Source organism: Homo sapiens, chromosome 9, assembly GCF_000001405.40.
Source record: "Homo sapiens chromosome 9, GRCh38.p14 Primary Assembly".
NCBI lineage: Eukaryota > Metazoa > Chordata > Mammalia > Primates > Hominidae > Homo > Homo sapiens.
In genome coordinates, this window is record NC_000009.12 from 109472370 (window position 1) to 109491714 (window position 19345).

Sequence of the window (19345 nt, forward strand, 5' to 3'; positions counted from 1 at the left end):
ATGCATACATTTTGTGCTATTTATCAGGCTTTGAAAATGTTCTTTTTAAAAATGTTATTTAATATTTTCTGTTTTCACCATCATTTTTATTTTTTTGCGAACGTTCTTAATGAAATTCAGCCCAACTAATTAAAAATTAGTCATTTCAGTTTTCATTTGTGAAATGCCCAAATATCTTAGAAAACACTTTCCTATACATTTCCCTTTATTAGTTTTAAAATAAGTACAGTTGATAACAAAATTACTGTACAACTGGTACCTGGAATTTAATCTTTTTCCTCATAACTCTATAATTTCATAAATTGATCAACACTACCTTCTGCCATTTTTAGCCTGCTTTCTTGGCTTTTAAATTTTCCAAAGTACAATACTACATAACAATACAAAGATAAATACACTAAATACACTAACTTATTTTTAAAATTAGGTTTTAATGTAAACATAATCGTGACTGAATACTTGCTAAACTAGAAAAACAAACGTCCTTATTCAGGGAGGAATACCTCATATGGCTAATTCAACGTTAAAGCCAAGAAACAAATTTATCCTGAACCTATATACTAAAACATTAATTTTTAAATAACATTTTTAAAGCATAAAGTCTGCTAATGAATAACACAGTTGACAATGCCAGTGCTGGTGAACAAAACTTTTTAAAAATTTGGGTATTTATGAATGTGTTAATACCTTTTATGAAAAAATGATTTATGAACATATTTAATACTCGAGTCTTCAGATTTTTCTCTAGCACAAGGGAGACACACTCACACAGGTCACTTTAATAATACAGCACAATACTCCGTCGAATCATCTTGCAGTTGTCAATCCTGATACTCCAAAAGTACAATTTTGGGATCAAATCATTTGTTCTACAGACCCTGTAATTTGTTCGGGGAGTGGCTCTCTGACTGAAGCCCCTGGGAAGCCCGGGTGGAGTCATTTGTAGGACCCGTTGTATTCAAACTGAGATCTGTAATTACTGGCCTTCTTTTCATACGACTTCAAAATGTCAAATAGTTTTCTTATTATGGAGTTGGGGTTTATTTATAGGTTTTATTTATAGGTTCGACACCATGACACTTGCAAAACTAACAAAATAAAAGTTATACTTGATCCTGGCAGGGTAAGAAGTAGTAGTTTTAAGCTCCCTGAAGGGCAAGATAAAGAATGCTGCGGGAGCCGCGGGCAGTTTCGGGAAAGAGGTAATGTTGCTATAAAGAGAAACCAATCTCTTAAGTGCCATGAGCTGGGTTTTCAGTGTTGTGATGAGAAGCTAGTAACTAAAACACAAAGTTTGCCTTGAAGCCGGCAGAAAACTCATGCTAAGTATATTAAATGAAGCCATTCAATTTAAAGAAAAACCTTTTTCTTGAAGTATCACAGAGAGAAAAAGTACAAATGCTAAATATAGTGCTCCCCAGGAGCCCAGCAGGAGCCCCTCATGTCCTCTTCCAGACACTCCCTTCCACAGGTGACCACTCTCTCCTGACTTACAACGCCATCCTCCTGAGTTTTTTAAAAATTAGATTGTGTTAGAAGTTCTTTTTTTTTTTTTTAAAGAGTTTTAGGAAATCTGATTATGATGCAGTGTCAAACAGCACACCCCCAAATTCCACAGGTCTCAACTTTCCCTGGGTTGCTTCTCGGTACCCATGTGGATGTCTTGGGTGGGTTGCAAAGAAATAAGATTTGGTTTTGCCCAGGTAGTCACTGAACAGTGACTGGTAACCTTTCCCCACTGCGCGCCACCTTGGTGAACCCAGACACTTAAGAGCCAGCAAACCTGCCTCCTGGGAGAAAAATAGGGCAAATGCCAGCCCATGGGGGGGTTTTAACCAAGTCATACTGAGGAAAATGACATCAGGACTTACCCCAGACAAGCTGTCCCCACGACAGCCTCCAAGCAACCTGCATCTGACTACGATTTCATGGGCTTGTCAATCTTGTTTACAATTACTTTTAGCCTCCTTGGTTGCTACTTTGGCAAAGGAGTTCCGCATCATTTACTCTCTCGATGTTCATTTACTCTGTGCCGTCTCTGCGCCAGGCCAGGGAGTGGGCAGTATCAAGTTCTAGGGGAGAGGAAGCCCCAGGGTGCTGGAGGAACACAAGGAGGGCTCTGGATCCACCAGGGTGGGGTGGGTGTCAGGACCGGTTCACAGAAATTTCATGGGGAGTCTTGCAGGATAAGGGGTATTGGCCAGGGAGAAGCTGCAGCATTCCAGACACTGCAAAACCCATGTGCAAAGGTTGGGGGGGAAAATGCACGCATGGTATGGGAACTCCACAGAAACTGATTTAGCAGGCGTTCCTGAGGAATAACTGAAATCTTAGCGAAATCTCAGGGCGGATAAGATTAGGTACTTCAAAAATCCAAGGGGCTGTCACACAGAAGAGGAATTAGGATACAATGTAAGGCTGTGGGAAAGTTACCAGCATCAGAATCAGACAGCTGTGGGGGGACCTCAGCTTCATCACTTACTGAGATTAACTTCGGAGAGACTGCTTACCCTCTCTGAGACTCAGTTTCCCTACCTATAAAAGAGGAAGGATTTCCCTAAGGTTGTTTTAATCACTGGAGATAATGTGTATGCAAATTAACTTGCACCTAGCTACTATAATTAGACTGATTTTTTTAGGTCCCAAAGGTTCAATGGGTAGAAGATGAAAGAAACACATTTCTCTTCAACAGACGAAGGAGCTTTTAAACAGTTAAACCTGCACAAATATGGAAGGAAGTGCCCTGTAAGAGAGTGAGCTCCTCATCACTAGAGGTAATCAAGCAGAGAAGCTGGATGAGACCCTTGGTGAGAAGGCCTCAGAGGGCAGACTGACAGTGAAGAGTGGGATAGATGAACTCTGGGCTTTCAGGACTTCTGTTTCAACAATTCCAAGGTTAAGTTTCTGTACATGTAAGCCTCAATGTGGTATTGTTCAAAACTGAATTTCCTTTCATGTATACTTTCTCATCGGAAATAATTCTAAATGAATACCTCATTCTTGGAAAAAACTGAAATGGCCCATCAAACCGTGAAATAGGAGATGAGGGACTATAACAAGCAAAAATATGTAAAGCTCACAAAATAGACAATGGAATATGTTTTACATTTAGCTGTTTCTACCTAAAATTAAGCTACTGATCTCATTTCATTTTCCCTCCGAGTAGTTCCACTAGGCCCCAGACAGACTGGAAATCAGGATGGAATACATTTACTCCACAGGGACATGAATCAAGTTGCATAAACCTTACAAAAATACTCTGCTAATATTTGCTCTCAGGCACAGACACGCCCATTTGGGTGTCAGTCCACGATATTTCTATCTTAGGCTCTGGCCCCCACCCCTTTACAGCCAAAAGCAGCAGAAGCCTTCAGAAAAGAAAACAGCTAAAGTCACTTTGAAAGGTTTGAGATGTGCTAATCACAGTGCATACCAGCCAAGAAGCTGGAATCTCACAACCGGACCATCCTGCCAGCCTCTGTTCCCGCCAAGGAGTCTGAAGCCAGTGGTAGTCCGGCCAGAGAAACCCAATCCTCACCACCAGTGTCCCTCGCCATAATTTTATCTCAAGGAAACAGAGAAAAATACTCTCCACTTACCCCCACGAAGCATCATCTTATTTGTCTCTGATCAGCCAGGTGACTCGCGAAGTCACTAACTCACTTTTCTCTGGCTCGGTTTCCCAGGTTAGAGCCCTCTAAAGCTTTTTCCAGCTTTAAAATCCTCTGCCTGTAAGGTTTTAATCCAGGGGGCCATCTCAGGTTATATTAGGTTCGGTAACCCTGCTGGTTGCCAGTGTGCCCCTAGAAACCATAAAATATTTTTATGCAGCCTATTCAGATTTCCAGGGCTTTGTACCCTGATAAAATGGGGTCAGCAAATTAATGAAACTCTTTAAAAAGACTTCTAAAAGGCATGCCAAAATGCAAATCAGGAGAACAACATTTAGGAACAAATGAATGAAATGTATATGTTTATCAAAATAACAAGTTGTAAACCTTAAAAAAAAAAACAGTAAAAAGTAAACAAAAGGAATGTATAATTGCTACTAAAAAATAAAAGGTAAAGAAAAAAAGGAAATAATATATGTCATTGCTGCTGTTGATGCATTTATCTGTACTGAGGCCTTCCACATGCTGGGAGCTGAGAATACAGAGATAAAGACAACCCTCTCACTGATTTCAAGAGTGGTCCGTGACTGGACCAAGAAGATCTTTGCTTGGGAGTACTCTGGGACAGGAGGGGTCTTGCCAGGCCAGAGTCCACTGGAGGTTTGAAGGAATAGCCAGACCTGGGTTCTAGTCTCTGCTCTGCCACTCCCAAGTGGACATGAACCTGAACAAATTAATGTTTTGTCTTAGTTTCCTCCCCTGTGAATAACTATAGGGAGCAGAGATTTCATTCTTAACGCAGCACAGGGCCTGGCCCGCCACAGCCACTCAACACCAGCTCTGTGAATGCTGCCTATGCATTCTTGCCCTTCCCACCTGCCTTCTTTCTCAGTCCCTGGGCCATTCCCTTTCCTGTTTCTGGGCTTCCTGTGCTACAGGGCTTCAGCGATTTCCAAGTATTTTTACACCCCTCACTCCTGACTGATTGATTTTGACTGGGCCTGGAAGGTAGCACTGCTGTTAACCATTTTACAAGATTGGGAGACTCGACTCAGAACCACGCACAGGTCACACAGGCAGACTTCAAACAAGGTGATGATCCCAAGCTCAGGTGGGGGCATCACACACCACCCACTCTGAGTCCACTGATCCACGTGACTGGGAGGCAGACGAATTACAGGTGATTCACTGGAGGTGGTAAACGGAGCCCCACACTTAGTCACTATTGTCTCTGTAACTTACTAAATAAGGTATGTTCTTACCCTTTTGAGATAATCTTTTATAAACACTCCCCGAGGCTCTCATGTTGGTAAATTTCCTCTTACAAGGGAAATGGCCCAGAAAACCTTCTTGCCCCCTAATTAACTCTGCAACATTAGAAACTTGAGTAATGATCTGGGTATTTATCACCATATTACCTCTGCTCTAAGATGACACACCTGATGTAACAGGTGTTTCAGCAAAGTTATTTTAAAGAAACAGTACATCCAAGGTACCCTGTGACTGTGAAGGTCACGGTGATTTCAGAAGCATTAAAGTGTGGCCAACGCACCTTTCAGAATTGAGGAAATGTAGTAAATGACTTCCTCCCACTTTTGCAAAAGGCCTGGACTGGAGTGTGTCACATGATGTCTAAAGGCCCTTCCAGCCTCACAGGCAGCCGTCCCTGGGTTAATTATTAGCAGCAGCGGGAGGGCAGAAACAGGCCATCTCATTTCCTGAGGCCAGGCTCTGGGTTTGGCCTGGGGCCGCTCCTACCTGATGACCAGCTCTCCTTCCGGACCTCAGTGAGGTGGCCAGCCCTGGCCCCAGTCAGTCTCTCCTCCCACTGCACCTGCCTCCAGGGATCTCGGAACTGCCAGGACTCCTTCCGGCCCATGGGAAGCTGAGCTTCTCAGCAAACTAGAGCTCCATAAGACTCTTGCTCACTCACCTTTCGGGGCACATGCACTGGCTCTGAGCCAAGGATCTCATGAGGACAGTCATGGGGCAGGAGTAACTGATAAACAAGGGGGCGGCAACCTGGGTGTAGCAGGGGCCTGGATCTCTGGAGGATCCAGGACAGCCTCACGGTGTCTGAACCCTGAGCTTCTTTCAACCTGCCAGGAGAGAGGCTCAGGTAGCAAGAAATAACCCTGGGTGGCTGTGAAAAAGGGGGATCTGACCACAGATGGTAGTGAACCTTGGAGGGGAAGGAGAGGGCGGCTCAGACCAGTGGCTACAAAGGGCGTGGACTCTGATGTGCTCAGGTTGAACAAAACAAGCCAACCAACAATTTTGTTTGTGTTTTTTAAAAAGTTGAACTTGTAATGTCTATGCAATCATATATTCCACTCTTTCTCATGATCACTATCCAACATTCGTCCAGGTATTTCAAACACTTCCCTGACCCCTTCTGTTATGACTCTACGATATTCCACCACGTGGGTGTACATAACTGTGGCTGGGTGTTCAGATGACTTCTCACTAGCAGAGCTCAGATGTCAGAAAGAATCCACAGTAAACCCAGAAAAGGAAGAGGAAGCATGTGACCAAGGACAGGCACCAATGCCAAGGAAGTGGGGGTCCCGAAGAGCCCTGAGTTAGGGCAAAAACACCAAAGAAAGGAGGAACGAGATGACAGACAGGGGCTGGGCCACCACCTAGAGGAGGATGGCTAAACATGAGCAAGGTAACTGATGATGATTTGCGCAAAATCGCCAAGTTAACTGTGTTCTGTCTTTTCTACCAGGTAGAACAATCTTTTACAATGGAAAAGATGAAATTAAAGGGGATGGGAAGCCATTCCCTGAGCAACTCCCATGACCCAGGAGAGAGCCCACACTCACCATCTTACTGGACTCTCACATCAAAAGAGGGGACCAGGCTTCGCCCATGAGGTTACCACATGTGTTTCTGAGGTGACCCAGCGGCAGGGCAGAATCCAAACCGGTGGCTCCTGCCAAAGACGTGCTCCTCCCACTACCTCTTCTGGTCTTTTCTTTTTCTTTTCTTTTTTTCTGTTCTTTTAAATCTCCGGTAAACAAGCGTTTTTTTTTTTTTTAATTGTAAAATATATAGGACCTAACGCTTGCCATTTTAGCCATTTTTAAGTGTACAATTCAGTGGCTTTAATTATATTCACAATGTTGTGCAAACATTACCACTATTTCCAGAAATTTTTCATCATCCCAAACAGAAACTCTGTACCCATTAGGCAATAACTCCCCATTCACCCCTCCTCCAACTCCTGGCCACCTCTAATCTACTTTCTGCCTCTACGAATTTGCCTAGTCTAGATACATCAGTGGAACCACATAGTATTTGTCTATTTGAGTCTGGCTTATTTCACTTAGCATGTTTTTAAGGTTCCTCCATATTTTAGCATGTATCAGAACTTTATTTCTTTTTATGACTGAATGATATTCCATTTTGTTTATCAATTCATCTGTCATTGGACATTTGGGTTGTTTCTGCCTTCTGGCTATTGTGAATGGTGTTGCAATGCTTAAATTTTATCATTTCAGCATACAAGTATCTGTCCGAGTCCACTTTCAATTCTTTCAGGTATATACGTAGGAGTAGGATTGCTGGGTCACATGGTAGTTCTATCTATAGCTTTTTAAAATTTTTTTGAGACACAGTCTTCCTCTGTTGCCCAGGCTGGAGTGCAAAGGCACCATCTCAGCTTACTGCAGCCTCCTCCGCCTCCCAGGCTCAATGGATCTTCCCATCTCAGCTTCCCTAGTAGCTGGGACTACAAGTGTGTGCCACCACGCCCAGCTAAGCTTTTGTACTTTTGGTAGACTGGGTTTCGCCCTGTTGCCCAGGCTGGTCTCAAACTCCTGAGCTCAAGCGATACACCCTCCCAAAGTGCTGGGATTACAGGCCTGAGCCTCTGTGCCTGGCCCTATTATGTACAGCTTTTTGGGGAATAATCAGATTGTTTTCTACAGAGGCTGCACCATTTTACATTCCCACCACAATATAAGAGGGTTACTATTCCTCCACATCCTTGCTAATACTTGTTAGTTTCCTGTTTTTGATCATAACCATTCTAGTAGGTGTGCAGTGGTGTCTCATTGTGGCTTTACTTTACATTTTCCGTAATGACTAATGATGCTGAGCATCTTTTCATGTGTTTACTGGCAATTTGTGCATCTTTAGAGAAATGTCTATTCAAGTCTTCTGCCCATTTTTAAAATTTGTTTTGTGTTAGTGTGAGCTGTTGACTTTCAGGGTCTCGCTCTGTCACCCAGGCTGGAGGGCAGTAGCACCATCTTGGCTCAGTGTAACCTGTGTCTCCCAAGTGATCCTCCAGCCTCAGTCTCCTTAGTAGCTGGGACTACAGGCACACACCACACCTGGCTAATTTTTGTATTTTTTGTAGAGACGGGGTTTCACCATGTTGCCCAGGCTCATCTTGAACTCCTAGACTCAATGATCTGCCTGCCTCAGTCTCCCAAGGTGCTGGGATCACAAGTGGGAGCCACTGCGCCTGGCCTATTCTCTCATTCCATAGGTTGCCTTTTCACTTTCTTGATGATGTCTTTGGATGCAAAAAAGCTTTAATTTTCATGAAGTCCCAATTTATTTTTCTTTTGTTACTTGCATTTTTAGTGTCATATCCAAGAATTCATTGCCAAATTCAAGGTTGTGAAGGTTTACCCCTATGTTTTCTTCTAGGAGTTTTATGGCTTTAGGGTCTTTTATTAAGGTCATTGATCCATTTTGAGTGAATTTTTGTATATGGTATGATGTGTTAGCTGCTCTGGTCTTGCTGAGTGGAGTCCTTCACCAGCACGATCTTCTGGCAGAGCTAACATCCCTACACAAAAAGGCTGGGTCTGAGTCTTTAAAATCTCACCACTGCCGCACAGGCAGCCTGCCCAGTGGCTGGTACCCAACAGGTGCTCAATAATTCACTGTGGGATGAATGGATGGATGGATGGATGGATGGATGGATGCATGGATGCATGGTTGGATGGTTGATGGATAAACCACTAGGTTTATCCCTCCACTCACTTCTTATGACTGCTGCCCACAGCTGGCTGGGAGACTCTTTCATAACAAAGGAAATCTAATAGGCTAAACATATTAAGAATTAAATATCAACAACGGCATTTACACACTCCTAATATTAACCTAAAAATTACCCAAGATCTAACTCACAGACCTAACTGGACAAGACAGAGGAAAGCCCAATGTACCCTTGCCAGTCTCCTGGTTCAAGTCCCTCAGTGCACAGATAAGGAAACCCAAGGGCAGGGCAGGGCATGGCAGGGACTTCCAAAGCCAGAGCCCACCGAACACAGGTCTCAGTGATGGCCAACTATAGATAAGCAAGAGAAATACATGAGGTTAGTTTGAACTGCTTCACAGAGGAGGGGTGGCCCTCTGGTTCTAAAATCTCCAAAGGGGATGGGGAAATGAACCCTGAGTCCTAGATCTCATTCTGCTCCACCAGGGTCTCATGCTTCTCTGGCTGTTCCCAGGTGGTGCCAAGCTTGTTCCAACCTTGGGTGTTTGCACGTGCTGTTCCCTCTCCTTGAACACCCTTCCCTTAGATATGCACCTGGCTCTCTCACTCAGTTTCTTCATGTGCCTGCTTAAATTTTACCTCATCAGTGAGGCCTTCCCTGATCACTCCTTCTCCCTCTCACCCTACTTTAGATTTCTCCTTAAATGTAAGTTCCTTAAAGGCAGGGATTTTAGTAGTGAACTGCCATCTCCATGGCATCTAGAACAGTGTCCAGTGCACATGAGGCACTAAGTATCTATGGAATGCATGAATAAATTGATAAAATTGGGAACCCCATACTCAGTGTGTAGCATGTCACTAAGTGTCACAAGAGGGGAAGGCAGATGGGTGGGCACTGCCTGGACCCTGTAGCCACAGAGGCACCCAAGTTTACTTCTGGACCCATAGGCTGTCCAGCGCTCCTGGGCCTGTGACAAAGACAGGGAGGGCTGGGACATTGTGTACAGTCAGAAACTCCCCCGCCTTTCGGTCAGGTCCAAGATGCTGGCAGCTGCTCCCCTGCTGATCAGGCCATAGAAAATGGAGCCTCTGCCCATAGGCGCTTAAGAAATGTGTGTGAAATGCACAAATGAATGAATGAACAACTAATGCGCGCAGGGATTACACCTGCACTTTTAGAAGGCTTGTGTCAGCGCTAACACAGCATACCATTCCAATGGGGCTGGAAGGCAGTCTGACTAAGTAATTCCATTTCTAGGAACCTGCTGTCAGGATATATTCAGACATGAAAAAAAGTTTTAGTTGCAGAGATTTTCCTCCCAGCAACATTTATAACACTGAAAATTACAAACAAAAAAGCTACTTGCCAATTTCGGACGGCCAGTTAAGTAAGCCACAAAACAGCCACAGGATGTCTGTGTGATTAGAATATTAAGAGGCTTGTTATAAAGTTGTATCTACGGGATAACCGCAACTAATTAAAACAAAGGAATCTGAAAGACAAAAAAACCCCACATGTGTTAGTTTTTCTATTCTTTCAACTTTTCTGTTATTTTCTATGATGAGCAATCATGAGTCAGAAGAAAGTCAAACTGATCTAATTTTTTTTGTTTTAAATGCTGTCACCTAATGCTTTATTGGTGCTAGGGTGTTAAACTGCTTAAATCTCCGTCCTCTGACTCTCTGCTGCCTCCTGTCCCATTTCTGCATCCCCAACCCTGCTTCCTCTTCCTGGGTTCCCTCCCACTATCCACTGTCTGCCCTGCCCTACCACCTCTGCAATGCTCTGGCCTTTTAATCCATACCTGGACCCACTCCTCCCCCAGAAACCAGCTCCAGTGCTGGGCTGCCTCCTCCACTTCCCAGATCTGTGGCTTTGGACAAGTTACTGAACCTCACTGAGATTCCATTTCCTCCTCAGGAAAATGAAACTGACATTAACCCACAGGGTCCTCGTCAGCACTCGCAGGTGCTAAGGCTGTGGGCTGCTCTAGACACTGCCCGGTGTTGGAGCCCTATCTGCTGCTTCTACTCAGCCTCAGGAAGAGCTGCTATCCATGCCCTGATGCACAGGGAGAAAAGTCTTGATCCCCAGTCTGCATAAATCTGGGCACCTGTCCTTTCCTGAAGGCAGCAGAAGAAAAGTAGGTTTGCTCTTGGCTCCCAGATCAACATGATAGCTTCTTGGCTGAAACTGCCATTCCCCCATGGAGCCCTCCACACCTTCAGAGAACTCACAGCCCAGCCCTCGCTCCTCAGAGCTGACGCCCAATATGCGAGTACCCTTTAGACCATGTTCCTGGCAATTTCACCAAAGGCCTGGCTAATGCCATAGCTGGGCCTCCTGTCCACAGCGACAGGCTCCAGTGCCCCAGCTCGGTGCTGGGCTCTCCTACTCCCTTTTGATCACAGGCTTTACTCATTCTTCCTTCAAAACCTGTATCCACCCCTCTCACTAACACCAGCTGTGAGGCAGGTGCTGGGGTACAAGGTTAAGAGGCTGTCTCAGTTCCTAGCTCTCCGGGAACTCACAAATCAATCAGAGAGAGAGGGATGCAGAAATCACAGCTTTCCATGTGGGGAGTGCTAAGACAGAGGACCTTCCAGGGTGTGACCATGGCTCAGCCTCCGGCAGAAAGCGATGCCTTCTAAGGAGGATATAACTGTGAAGCCAGACTGTGAGGGATGAGATATCAAGCAACAAAATCAAATCACTCCATACGTCTCCCAAAGCTCTCACCGGGCTCTTACGATCAGTCTCCATCATCACCCACAATCTGATTCCAACAGAACCCGACAGACCCCAGACGCCTGGAAACACCTGCCCCTTTGAGGTGTCTCCAAGCAGCCAGGCAGAAAGCTGGGTATACGTTAAGCTGTGCGTGTTTTTTCCCTACCTTCTCCTCCACAAGGCTCCCCATCATTAATCATGTTCTGGATGAATGCCGCTCAAAGTGCAGTCTCTGGACCAGTGACTTCAGCATCACTGAGTGCCTGTTAGAAATGCAGTCTCAGGCCTCACCCCTGACCTACAGAATCTGAATCATTTTGTATAAAGTGTGACAGGCTGCGTTCTCCACTCCAATTCCAACTTCCTCCTCTTCACTCTGTCGCGAGCTGCCATCTTTTGGTGCCTTTGACATCTACGCAGTGAACTAAAGCCAACCTCTGCAGTGTCCACCTCAGGCAGAATTGCCTGAGCCCCACCCTGCCCTGGGTGGCGCACACCAACCACAGCTCTCTCCACCTCAAGCTGTGGACACATGTCCCACAGCAGTCCCTCTGTCCAGACAGCTGAGCCAGTACTGCCTGAGTACTCAGCATGCTGCTGTGTCACCACGGGATCATCACACGACCTTGTGAGGTGGAGACACCACTGGCATTCCAGTGTGGAGAGGTGGAGACCGAAACTCAGGAGGCTCGAGCAGGGCCCTGGAGTGAGGGAGTGGGGGCCCGGTGATGGTCCCAGGCTCACCACCTGTGCTGAGAGCTAACACTGAGCACAGCAGCCTGGCCGAGCCACCTCTGTGGAAACTTGGAGCTGAGGATGGACATCTGAATCTGAAGTGAGGAACAGCCACTTGGCTAGGAGCTAGAATTGAGGGGCAAAAGTTGTGGAGAACAAACACATGGGAGAGGAGGCAGAGGCCAGATCCTGAAAAACTCTTCAGTGGTGGACTGAGGTGCCTGGACTTCAGAGGCGACAGGAGGGTAGTGAGGTTTCTGGAGCAGGCTGGTCAAAGTCAGCAGCACCCTTGTTTGATATCCATCCCATTCCCTCACCCCACATCTACCTGGGACTTGCTTCTCTGACCCTCCTGCTGTGGCAAGATCCTGATTGTCCCAGGTGCACATGGCTCTACTTCCTGACTGCTCATCCTCACGCAGTCCTCAGCCCTCTATGACCCCCCATCCTGCGCTAGGACAAAGCCTGGCTCCCAGGCATGCCTACCAGTGGTTTCCCCAGCTGGCTCCTCAAGAGCAAAGCCTTATCAAGAGTCATATAAGGCCAGGTGCAGTGGCTCACACCTGTAATCCCAGCACCTTGGAGGCCAAGGTGGGTGGATTACTTGAGTCCAGGAGTGCAAGACTAGTCTGGGCAACATGGTGAGACCCCATCTCTACTAAAAATACAAAAAGTAGCCAGACGTGGTGGTGTGCATCTGTAATCCCAGCTACTTGGGAGGCTGAGGTGGGCAGATCGCTTGAACCTGGGAGATGGAGGTTGCAGTGAGCTAGCTTGGGTGATAGAGTGAGACTCTGTCTTAAAAAAAAATAAAAAGTCGGCCGGGCGCGGTGGCTCACGCCTGTAATCCCAGCACTTTGGGAGGCCGAGGCGGGTGGATCACGAGGTCAGGAGATCGAGACCATCCTGGCTAACAGGTGAAACCCCGTCTCTACTAAAAATACAAAAAAAATTAGCTGGGCGTGGTGGTGGGCGCCTGCAGTCCCAGCTACGCGGGAGGCTGAGGCAGGAGAACGGCGTGAACCTGGGAGGCGGAGCTTGCAGTGAGCCGAGATTGCGCCACTGCACTCCAGCCTGGGCAACAGAGAGAGACTACGTCTCAAGAAAAAAATAAATAAATAAATAAAAATAAAAAGTAAAAATAAAAAGAGTCATATATGATCCAGCCCCCAGATCCTCGCCCTCTTCTCCTGTGACTGGCAGCACCTTCCCCAGGAGAGCTCCCCTTCCCCGCCCAGTCTTTCCTGACGGAATCATCAGTTTCCACACTCATCTCCTCCTACGGAAACCAGACTCTTCTCCTTCCCCTTCCACCACCATCCTGAGAAGACTGAGTACGGGAGAGCCTCTGTCCTGGAGCAGCTCACGAGAGGGAACCCCTTTGCAGTGTGTACCTCTTTAAAGGAAAAACATTCTCAAGATCCACCCCCGACTCCCATACACCTATTCACCTGGACCTATTTAGTAACTCTGAAGAAAACTGAAGCCTTTCCTGGTCTTTGAAAATTCTTTCAATAGCAAATAACCACTGCAACAGCAAATCTAAGTTTACGATTGAAAACATTTAAGGTTAACTTTACATACAACAGAAAACATTACAATGACAACACAGAACTTGGAAATTCTTGCAGTATGAACAGACTGAAGACAGGTCTGCAGGACTCTGTGAAACACAGATCTCCCCTAGAGTCCAGCCACTCAACATGTGGTGGCTTACGGACCCCATCCTGGCATCACCTGGGACGGTGCTGGAAAGGCAGAGTACAGGACCCAGCCCAAACCTGCTGAGTATGTATTTGCATTTTAACATGAAAACTTGGGAAGCCCTGGCTTATAGCATACATTTTGCAGGGTTGGAGAAAAGATGGGGAAAAGCAAGGCCAGATGGAGCCTGCACAGAATGAGGTGATCTTCTGTGCTTTTTAAGGGAACGTTTTTCTGGTAGCTATGTGAAGGAGGTACAGGCGCAAGGGGCCTATTTGTGACAGTAAGCAAAAGAGGCAAATGGGAGAAGCGAGAGAACTCAGTTTGGGTGGAGTGGAAAAGGGGAGTGGGCTGGAGAAGGGATTTCTGAGGTGTGGTGGACAGGCTTGTCCAGGGCAGGTTATGGGGGACAAGTGAAGAGTGACCTTGGGTTTCTAAGCAGGAAGACTATGTGGAGAGGACTAGTGGAGAGGGCATTTTTAAGAAAGAAGGTGATGAGCTCTGTTTCAGAAATGCAGAGGAGGGGCCTGGGGGCACTCATGAGGAGTTGTGCAGATGTGATATACACAGGATTGGAAATGCCCAGTGATATGGTTTGGTTGTGTCCCCACACAAATCTCACTGAGTTGTAGTTCCCATAATCCTCACATGTCATGGGAGGGAACAGGTGGGAGGTAACTGAATCATGGGGGCAGTTACCCCCATGCTGCTGTTCTTGTGATAGTGAGTTCTCACGAGATCTGATGGTTTTATAAGGGGCTTTTCCCCCTTTTGCTCTGCACTTCTCCTTGCTGCTGCTGTGTGAAGGAGGTTGTGTTTGCTTCCCCTTCCGCCATGATTGTAAGTTTCCCAAGGCCTCCCCAGCCTTGCGGAACTGTGAGTCAATTAAACTCCTTTTCTTTATAAATAACGCAGTCTTGGGTATGTCTTTATTAGCAGCGTGAGAATGGACTAATATACCCAGAGATGATCAGGCCGGAGACACAGACCTGTGAGCCCCTGCTGATAGAACCAGCTGAGTTTACCTGAAAAGGCCTGCAGGACAGTAAGATCAGAGGATAAAGGGCAGCAGAGGAAGAGCCAAGGTGTGGAAGGTAGGAGGGGAGAGGAGCATCACAGAAGCCCTGGAACAGAGAGGAATTTCTCTGACCAAATGGGCTGAGATATGAGAACCTGCCTCTGGTCTTAACAAGTGAGCAGTCCCTGGCCACTGTGGCAAGAGCAGGGAGGGCCCCCCTGGCCGCAAAGCGCAGAGCATATTATCTAAAAGTGTCATGAAACCCTGGGCAGCGGACCTCAAAGGACAGTCCCTGGCGTCCGAATGAGTGGCATCACCAGAGAGCTTGTTAGAAATGCAAACCTTCCGGCCTCACCAGAGGCTCTGATTCAGACCAAGAGAATCACACGCTCTGGGGGTGGGGCCTAACAGCCTCTTTTAAACAGCCTTCCAGCCTTCCAGGTGATTCTGATGTGCTATAGTTTGAGAAACACTGCTACAGGATATGGAAATTCAATGGAAGGTATATATCATCTTTTCTACATGAAAACGAAAAGAAGAAAAAGACAGCCTAGCAACTTCTACATAGAGAAACTCAGCAAGAAATGCCTAACTGCTTCAATGCCAATACAACTTATTTCTATAGTCAGAGAAATGCCAAAAGGTATTAACAAAATAATAAAAATACATGGCCCATCTGATAAACTTCCTTGGATGAGATGTAGAAAACACACCCAAGATCTGGGGGCTGGAAATTCTGAGACATGGGTACCAGTTCCTACTCTGCCATTGACTATGTGCCCTTGAGTATGTTACATCCCTTGCAGAGCCTCGGTTTCTCCATCCAGAAAAGAGGGAGCCGGAAAAGGTTTTTCTGAGGTCACTTTCAGTTCTGACACTGTGTGACATGCTCTGTCCTGTAAAAAGTGACCCCAAACGAAATGCTTTTAAGCAGCTGTGTGGGGTCGGGGGGAGGAGGGAAGTACTTTTTTTTTTTTTTTTTTTTTGAGATGGAATCTCGCTCTTTTGCCCAGGCTGGAGTGAAGTGGCATGATCTGGCTCACTGCAACCTCTGCCCCCACACCCCAGGTTCAAGTGATTCTCCTGCCTCAGCCTCCGGAGTAGCTGCGACTACAGGCACCCACCAGCACTGTGTAATTTTTTGTATTTTTAGTAGAGGCGGGGTTTTGCCACGTTGGCCAGTCTGGTCTCGAACTCCTGACCTCAGGTGATCCACCCGCCTCTGCCTCCCAAAGTGCTAGGATTACAGGCATGAGCCACCGCACCAGGCTGAAAGTACATTTTTAAGCAGTAAAATCTAATAACACAGTTAACCAGAAAATCTTTCCAACATTCAGCAGTACTAGTATCTTGCATTCTAGGAACCGGAACATTCCTTTACTAACTGGCTTTTCCATTAAAGCTGCTGATGCCTAGAGTAATAAAAACACGACTGCACTGGACAGTGTTCTTAAAGTTCACATGACTGGGATGCTTCCCAGAAAATAGCTCCATTATCTTCACATTTTCATCCTATAATAATTTGTAATCCAGGAAGGCAAGGTTTGTATTTTCTTCTAGGCAGAAAATAAGTTAAAGAACCAGACTGTATGGATCCCAGAGCCTGACCCCTTGACCGAGTGTCTGGTCACTTGATATTACAAATCTAGACTTCCTGATAAATGGCCCTGTAGTGACCTTGTTACTGGGATCCCTAGATGCTGGTTTCCTGCCTGGTTTCTCTGCATCCAAGTCCCTGTCTGCATCTACTGTCCATCCAATGCCCATCCTCTTCTGCCTGGGTCCCCAATGCCACCTGCTTCCCTGCCTTTGCCAAAGGTCAGTGACTTAGTCATCATCTCAGAACTAGGGCTGGAACAGGGATGTGGGCGTTGGTGCAGGAAGAAGAGGTGGAAGTGTGAGCACTAGAGGAAAGAAGATAAGGTCTAGGGTGACTCCCGCCTCCTGCCCTTCTTTGCTTACACACCCTGGCTCTTAAATTCTATTAGAAATTGGTCAGTGGGAAGCACAGCTGGCTTGTTCATCTCCCTGTCCATCTATCATAAACTCTGTCCCTGCTCCTCCATCCAGCCAGGGTATGTGAGTGACGTTCCAGACTCTGCCAGTCCTTGTGGCAGACAGGTACCATAGTGAGGTGAGAGCTGACAAAAGGCCGGTGTGGCAGGCACAAAGCTGGGAGTGGCATCCTACTGGAGGTGGGACCACAGAGGTGTGGGGACCAAAGCCACAAACATCAGGCCTGCAGGCCATGCAGAGGTTAGTTTTGTCTTTATCCAGGTAGAAGATTCCTAGTGCTAGAGGGTTTTCCATGCTGGCTCACCCTGCACTGATCTCAACCTCGAAGTCACTCTTAAATCCGGACGTGACCACACGTCCGGATTTACCTAGGGCAGTCCCGGCTTAGACCCGTCAGTCATGTGCAATTATTAATAGGACCCCTTTTTATTCTCAAATTGTTCTGGTTGGGATGATAAATTCTAGTTGCACTGTTCTTGGGGGCCTAGGCCTGTGAAGTCAGTGCTGCAGTTAGAGAAGTCTACCCATGATTAGCAGGGACGCCCAGCCTGATGAGTCTCACCCCTCATCAAACATTCCATTTGCCTCTCCAGTATCCCTGCCAAACCATCATCTGGCTTCTGCTTGTATATCTGCAAGGACAGCAGGCTCACTATCTTCTCAGGAAGCCTCTCTTTTTTGGGGAAAGCTTTGTTATAAAAATAGCAGGATTCAAACCTGTATACAGTATGACTGCAACTAAATAACAACATCCAGGCCGGGTGGGGTGGCTCATGCCTATAATCCCAGCACTTTGGGAGGCCGAGGTAGGTGGATCACTTGAGGTCAGGAGTTCTAGACCAGCCTGGCCAACATGGCAAAACCTCATCTCTATTAAAAATACAAAAAATTAGCTGGGCGTGGTCGTGGACACCTGTAATCTCAGTTACTTGGGAGGTTGAGGCAGGAGAATCACTTGAACCCAGGAGGCAGAGGTTGCAGTGAGCCGAGATCGCGCCACTGCACTCTAGCCTGGGTGACAGAGCAAGACTCCATCTCAAAAAAAACAAAACAAAAACAAAACAAAAAAAACCCCACATCACTCAGCAGGGAAAGGCGTGGGGCTGGAAGAAAGCAGAAAACCTGCTGACTTTTCCCCTTGCACCTCCTTCCATCTCTCCCTCTCCTCATTCAACAAATATTTACTGAGTGCATTTGATGGTCCAGGGACTGTGCTTGGCACTGGGGACAAAATGGTGAGTTAAAACAGACTCAATGTGAGGGGCATTCTACAAAATAATTGGCTTGTACTTTCCAAAAACGTCAAGGTCTGGCTGGGCATGGTGGCTCACGCCTGTAATCCCAGCACTTTGGGAGGCCGAGGTGGGCGGATCACCTGAGGTCGGGAGTTGGAGACCAGCCTGACCAACACGGAGAAATCCCGTCTCTACTAAAAATACAAAAAATTAGCCGGGCGTGGTGGCACATGCCTGTAATCCCAGCTACTCAGGAGGCTGAGGCAGGAGAATTGCTTGAACCCAGGAGTCGGATGCTGCAGTGAGCTGAGACTGAGCCACTGCACTCCAGCCTGGGCGACAGAGCGAGACTCCATCTTGGAACAACAACAACAAAAAAAGTCAAGGTCCTGAAGGACCAAGAACAATTGGGGAACTGTCTTAGTTTAAAGGAAACTAACGAGACATGACAACCGTACGCAACCCATTTATAAGAGTTTTTTTTTTTTTGCTATAAAAAAGGACATCACTAAGACAACTGGCAAAACCTAACATCTAGGCCGGGCGCAGTGGCTCGGGCCTGTATCCCAGTACTTTGGGAGGCTGAGACAGGCAGATCACTTGAGGTCAGGAGTTCGAGACCAGCATCCAACATGGTGAAACCCTGTCACCACAAAAAATACAAACATTAGCCGGGCATGGTGGCACACGCCTGGAATCCCAGCTACTTGGGAGGCTGAGACAGGATAATTGCTTGAATCCAGGAGGCGGAGGTTGCAGTGAACTGAGATCACACCACTGCACTCCAGCCTGGGTGGCAGAGTGAGGGACACTCTCTCTCAAAAAAAAAAAAAAAAGTATATAAAACTTGAGGTTTATAGATTAAACAATGTTGTATCACTATTAATTTATTGATTCTAAAATTTGTATTGTAGTTACGGAATATCATCGCTTTTAGGAAATATATGTAGGGGGAAAGGAGGCATTGATAAATAATCCTCAAATGGTTCAGGATAGATATATATGTACACAGGGATAAAATAAAAAGAATAAAATGGTAATGTTTGGGGAATCTGGGTGAAGAATTTATGGGACTTCTTTGATTTATTCTTACAACCTTCCTATGGGTCTGAATTGTATCAAAATAAAACATTAAAAGAAAAAAAAATAAAACTTAGAAAAAGTTTTTTTAAAAAAGAGACCCTGCCTTCACACAGCTTACAGTGTAGCCGGGAGACAGGTACTAATACAAATAATTACATTAATTAACTGCAAAATTGCCACTAGGAAAAGTGCTATAATGGAGAGAGATCTGGTGGCATGAACATTTATAGCAACAATTTAACTCAAGTCAGG

At 46.2% G+C, this 19345-nt stretch overlaps 1 protein-coding gene across 9 annotated transcripts in view, besides 3 other annotated features; it reads right to left on the reverse strand.

The window, feature by feature from the left end:
- The window catches only part of PTPN3 (protein tyrosine phosphatase non-receptor type 3), a 162727-nt gene that overhangs the window by 96676 nt on the left and 46706 nt on the right, over nucleotides 1-19345 (reverse strand). Inside the window, exons 2-3 of one of the 9 annotated variants that reach the window (XM_047423636.1) lie at nucleotides 6440-9986; nucleotides 3600-3803 (exon numbers count right to left, since the gene is read on the reverse strand). The exons of 4 other annotated variants lie outside the window; for them this stretch is intronic. In XM_047423636.1, coding sequence (XP_047279592.1) covers nucleotides 3600-3615 — 16 coding nt within the window. In that variant the 5' untranslated portion in view covers nucleotides 3616-3803; nucleotides 6440-9986. Of the gene's footprint in view, nucleotides 1-3599; nucleotides 3804-5163; nucleotides 5431-6439; nucleotides 12022-19345 lie in introns of those variants that run through there. 4 more of the 9 variants (XM_017014955.2, XM_047423635.1, XM_047423634.1 and 1 more) reach the window with 4 other exon arrangements.
- Nucleotides 3200-3494: a silencer, noted in NCBI's record as "tiled region #2753; HepG2 Repressive DNase matched - State 5:Enh". NCBI's record gives its function as "represses a minimal TATA promoter and a strong SV40 promoter by Sharpr-MPRA in HepG2 cells {active_cell/tissue: HepG2}" and the evidence as "EXISTENCE:reporter gene assay evidence [ECO:0000049][PMID:27701403]".
- Nucleotides 5216-5360: an enhancer, noted in NCBI's record as "145 bp enhancer 98 fragment used in the MPRA reporter construct; PK_construct_99". NCBI's record gives its function as "activates an SV40 promoter by MPRA in HepG2 cells {active_cell/tissue: HepG2}" and the evidence as "EXISTENCE:reporter gene assay evidence [ECO:0000049][PMID:23512712]".
- Nucleotides 5281-5294: a transcriptional cis regulatory region, noted in NCBI's record as "HNF1 motif; enhancer activity is reduced when this motif is scrambled". NCBI's record gives its function as "necessary for full MPRA enhancer 98 activity {active_cell/tissue: HepG2}" and the evidence as "EXISTENCE:site-directed mutagenesis evidence [ECO:0005528][PMID:23512712]".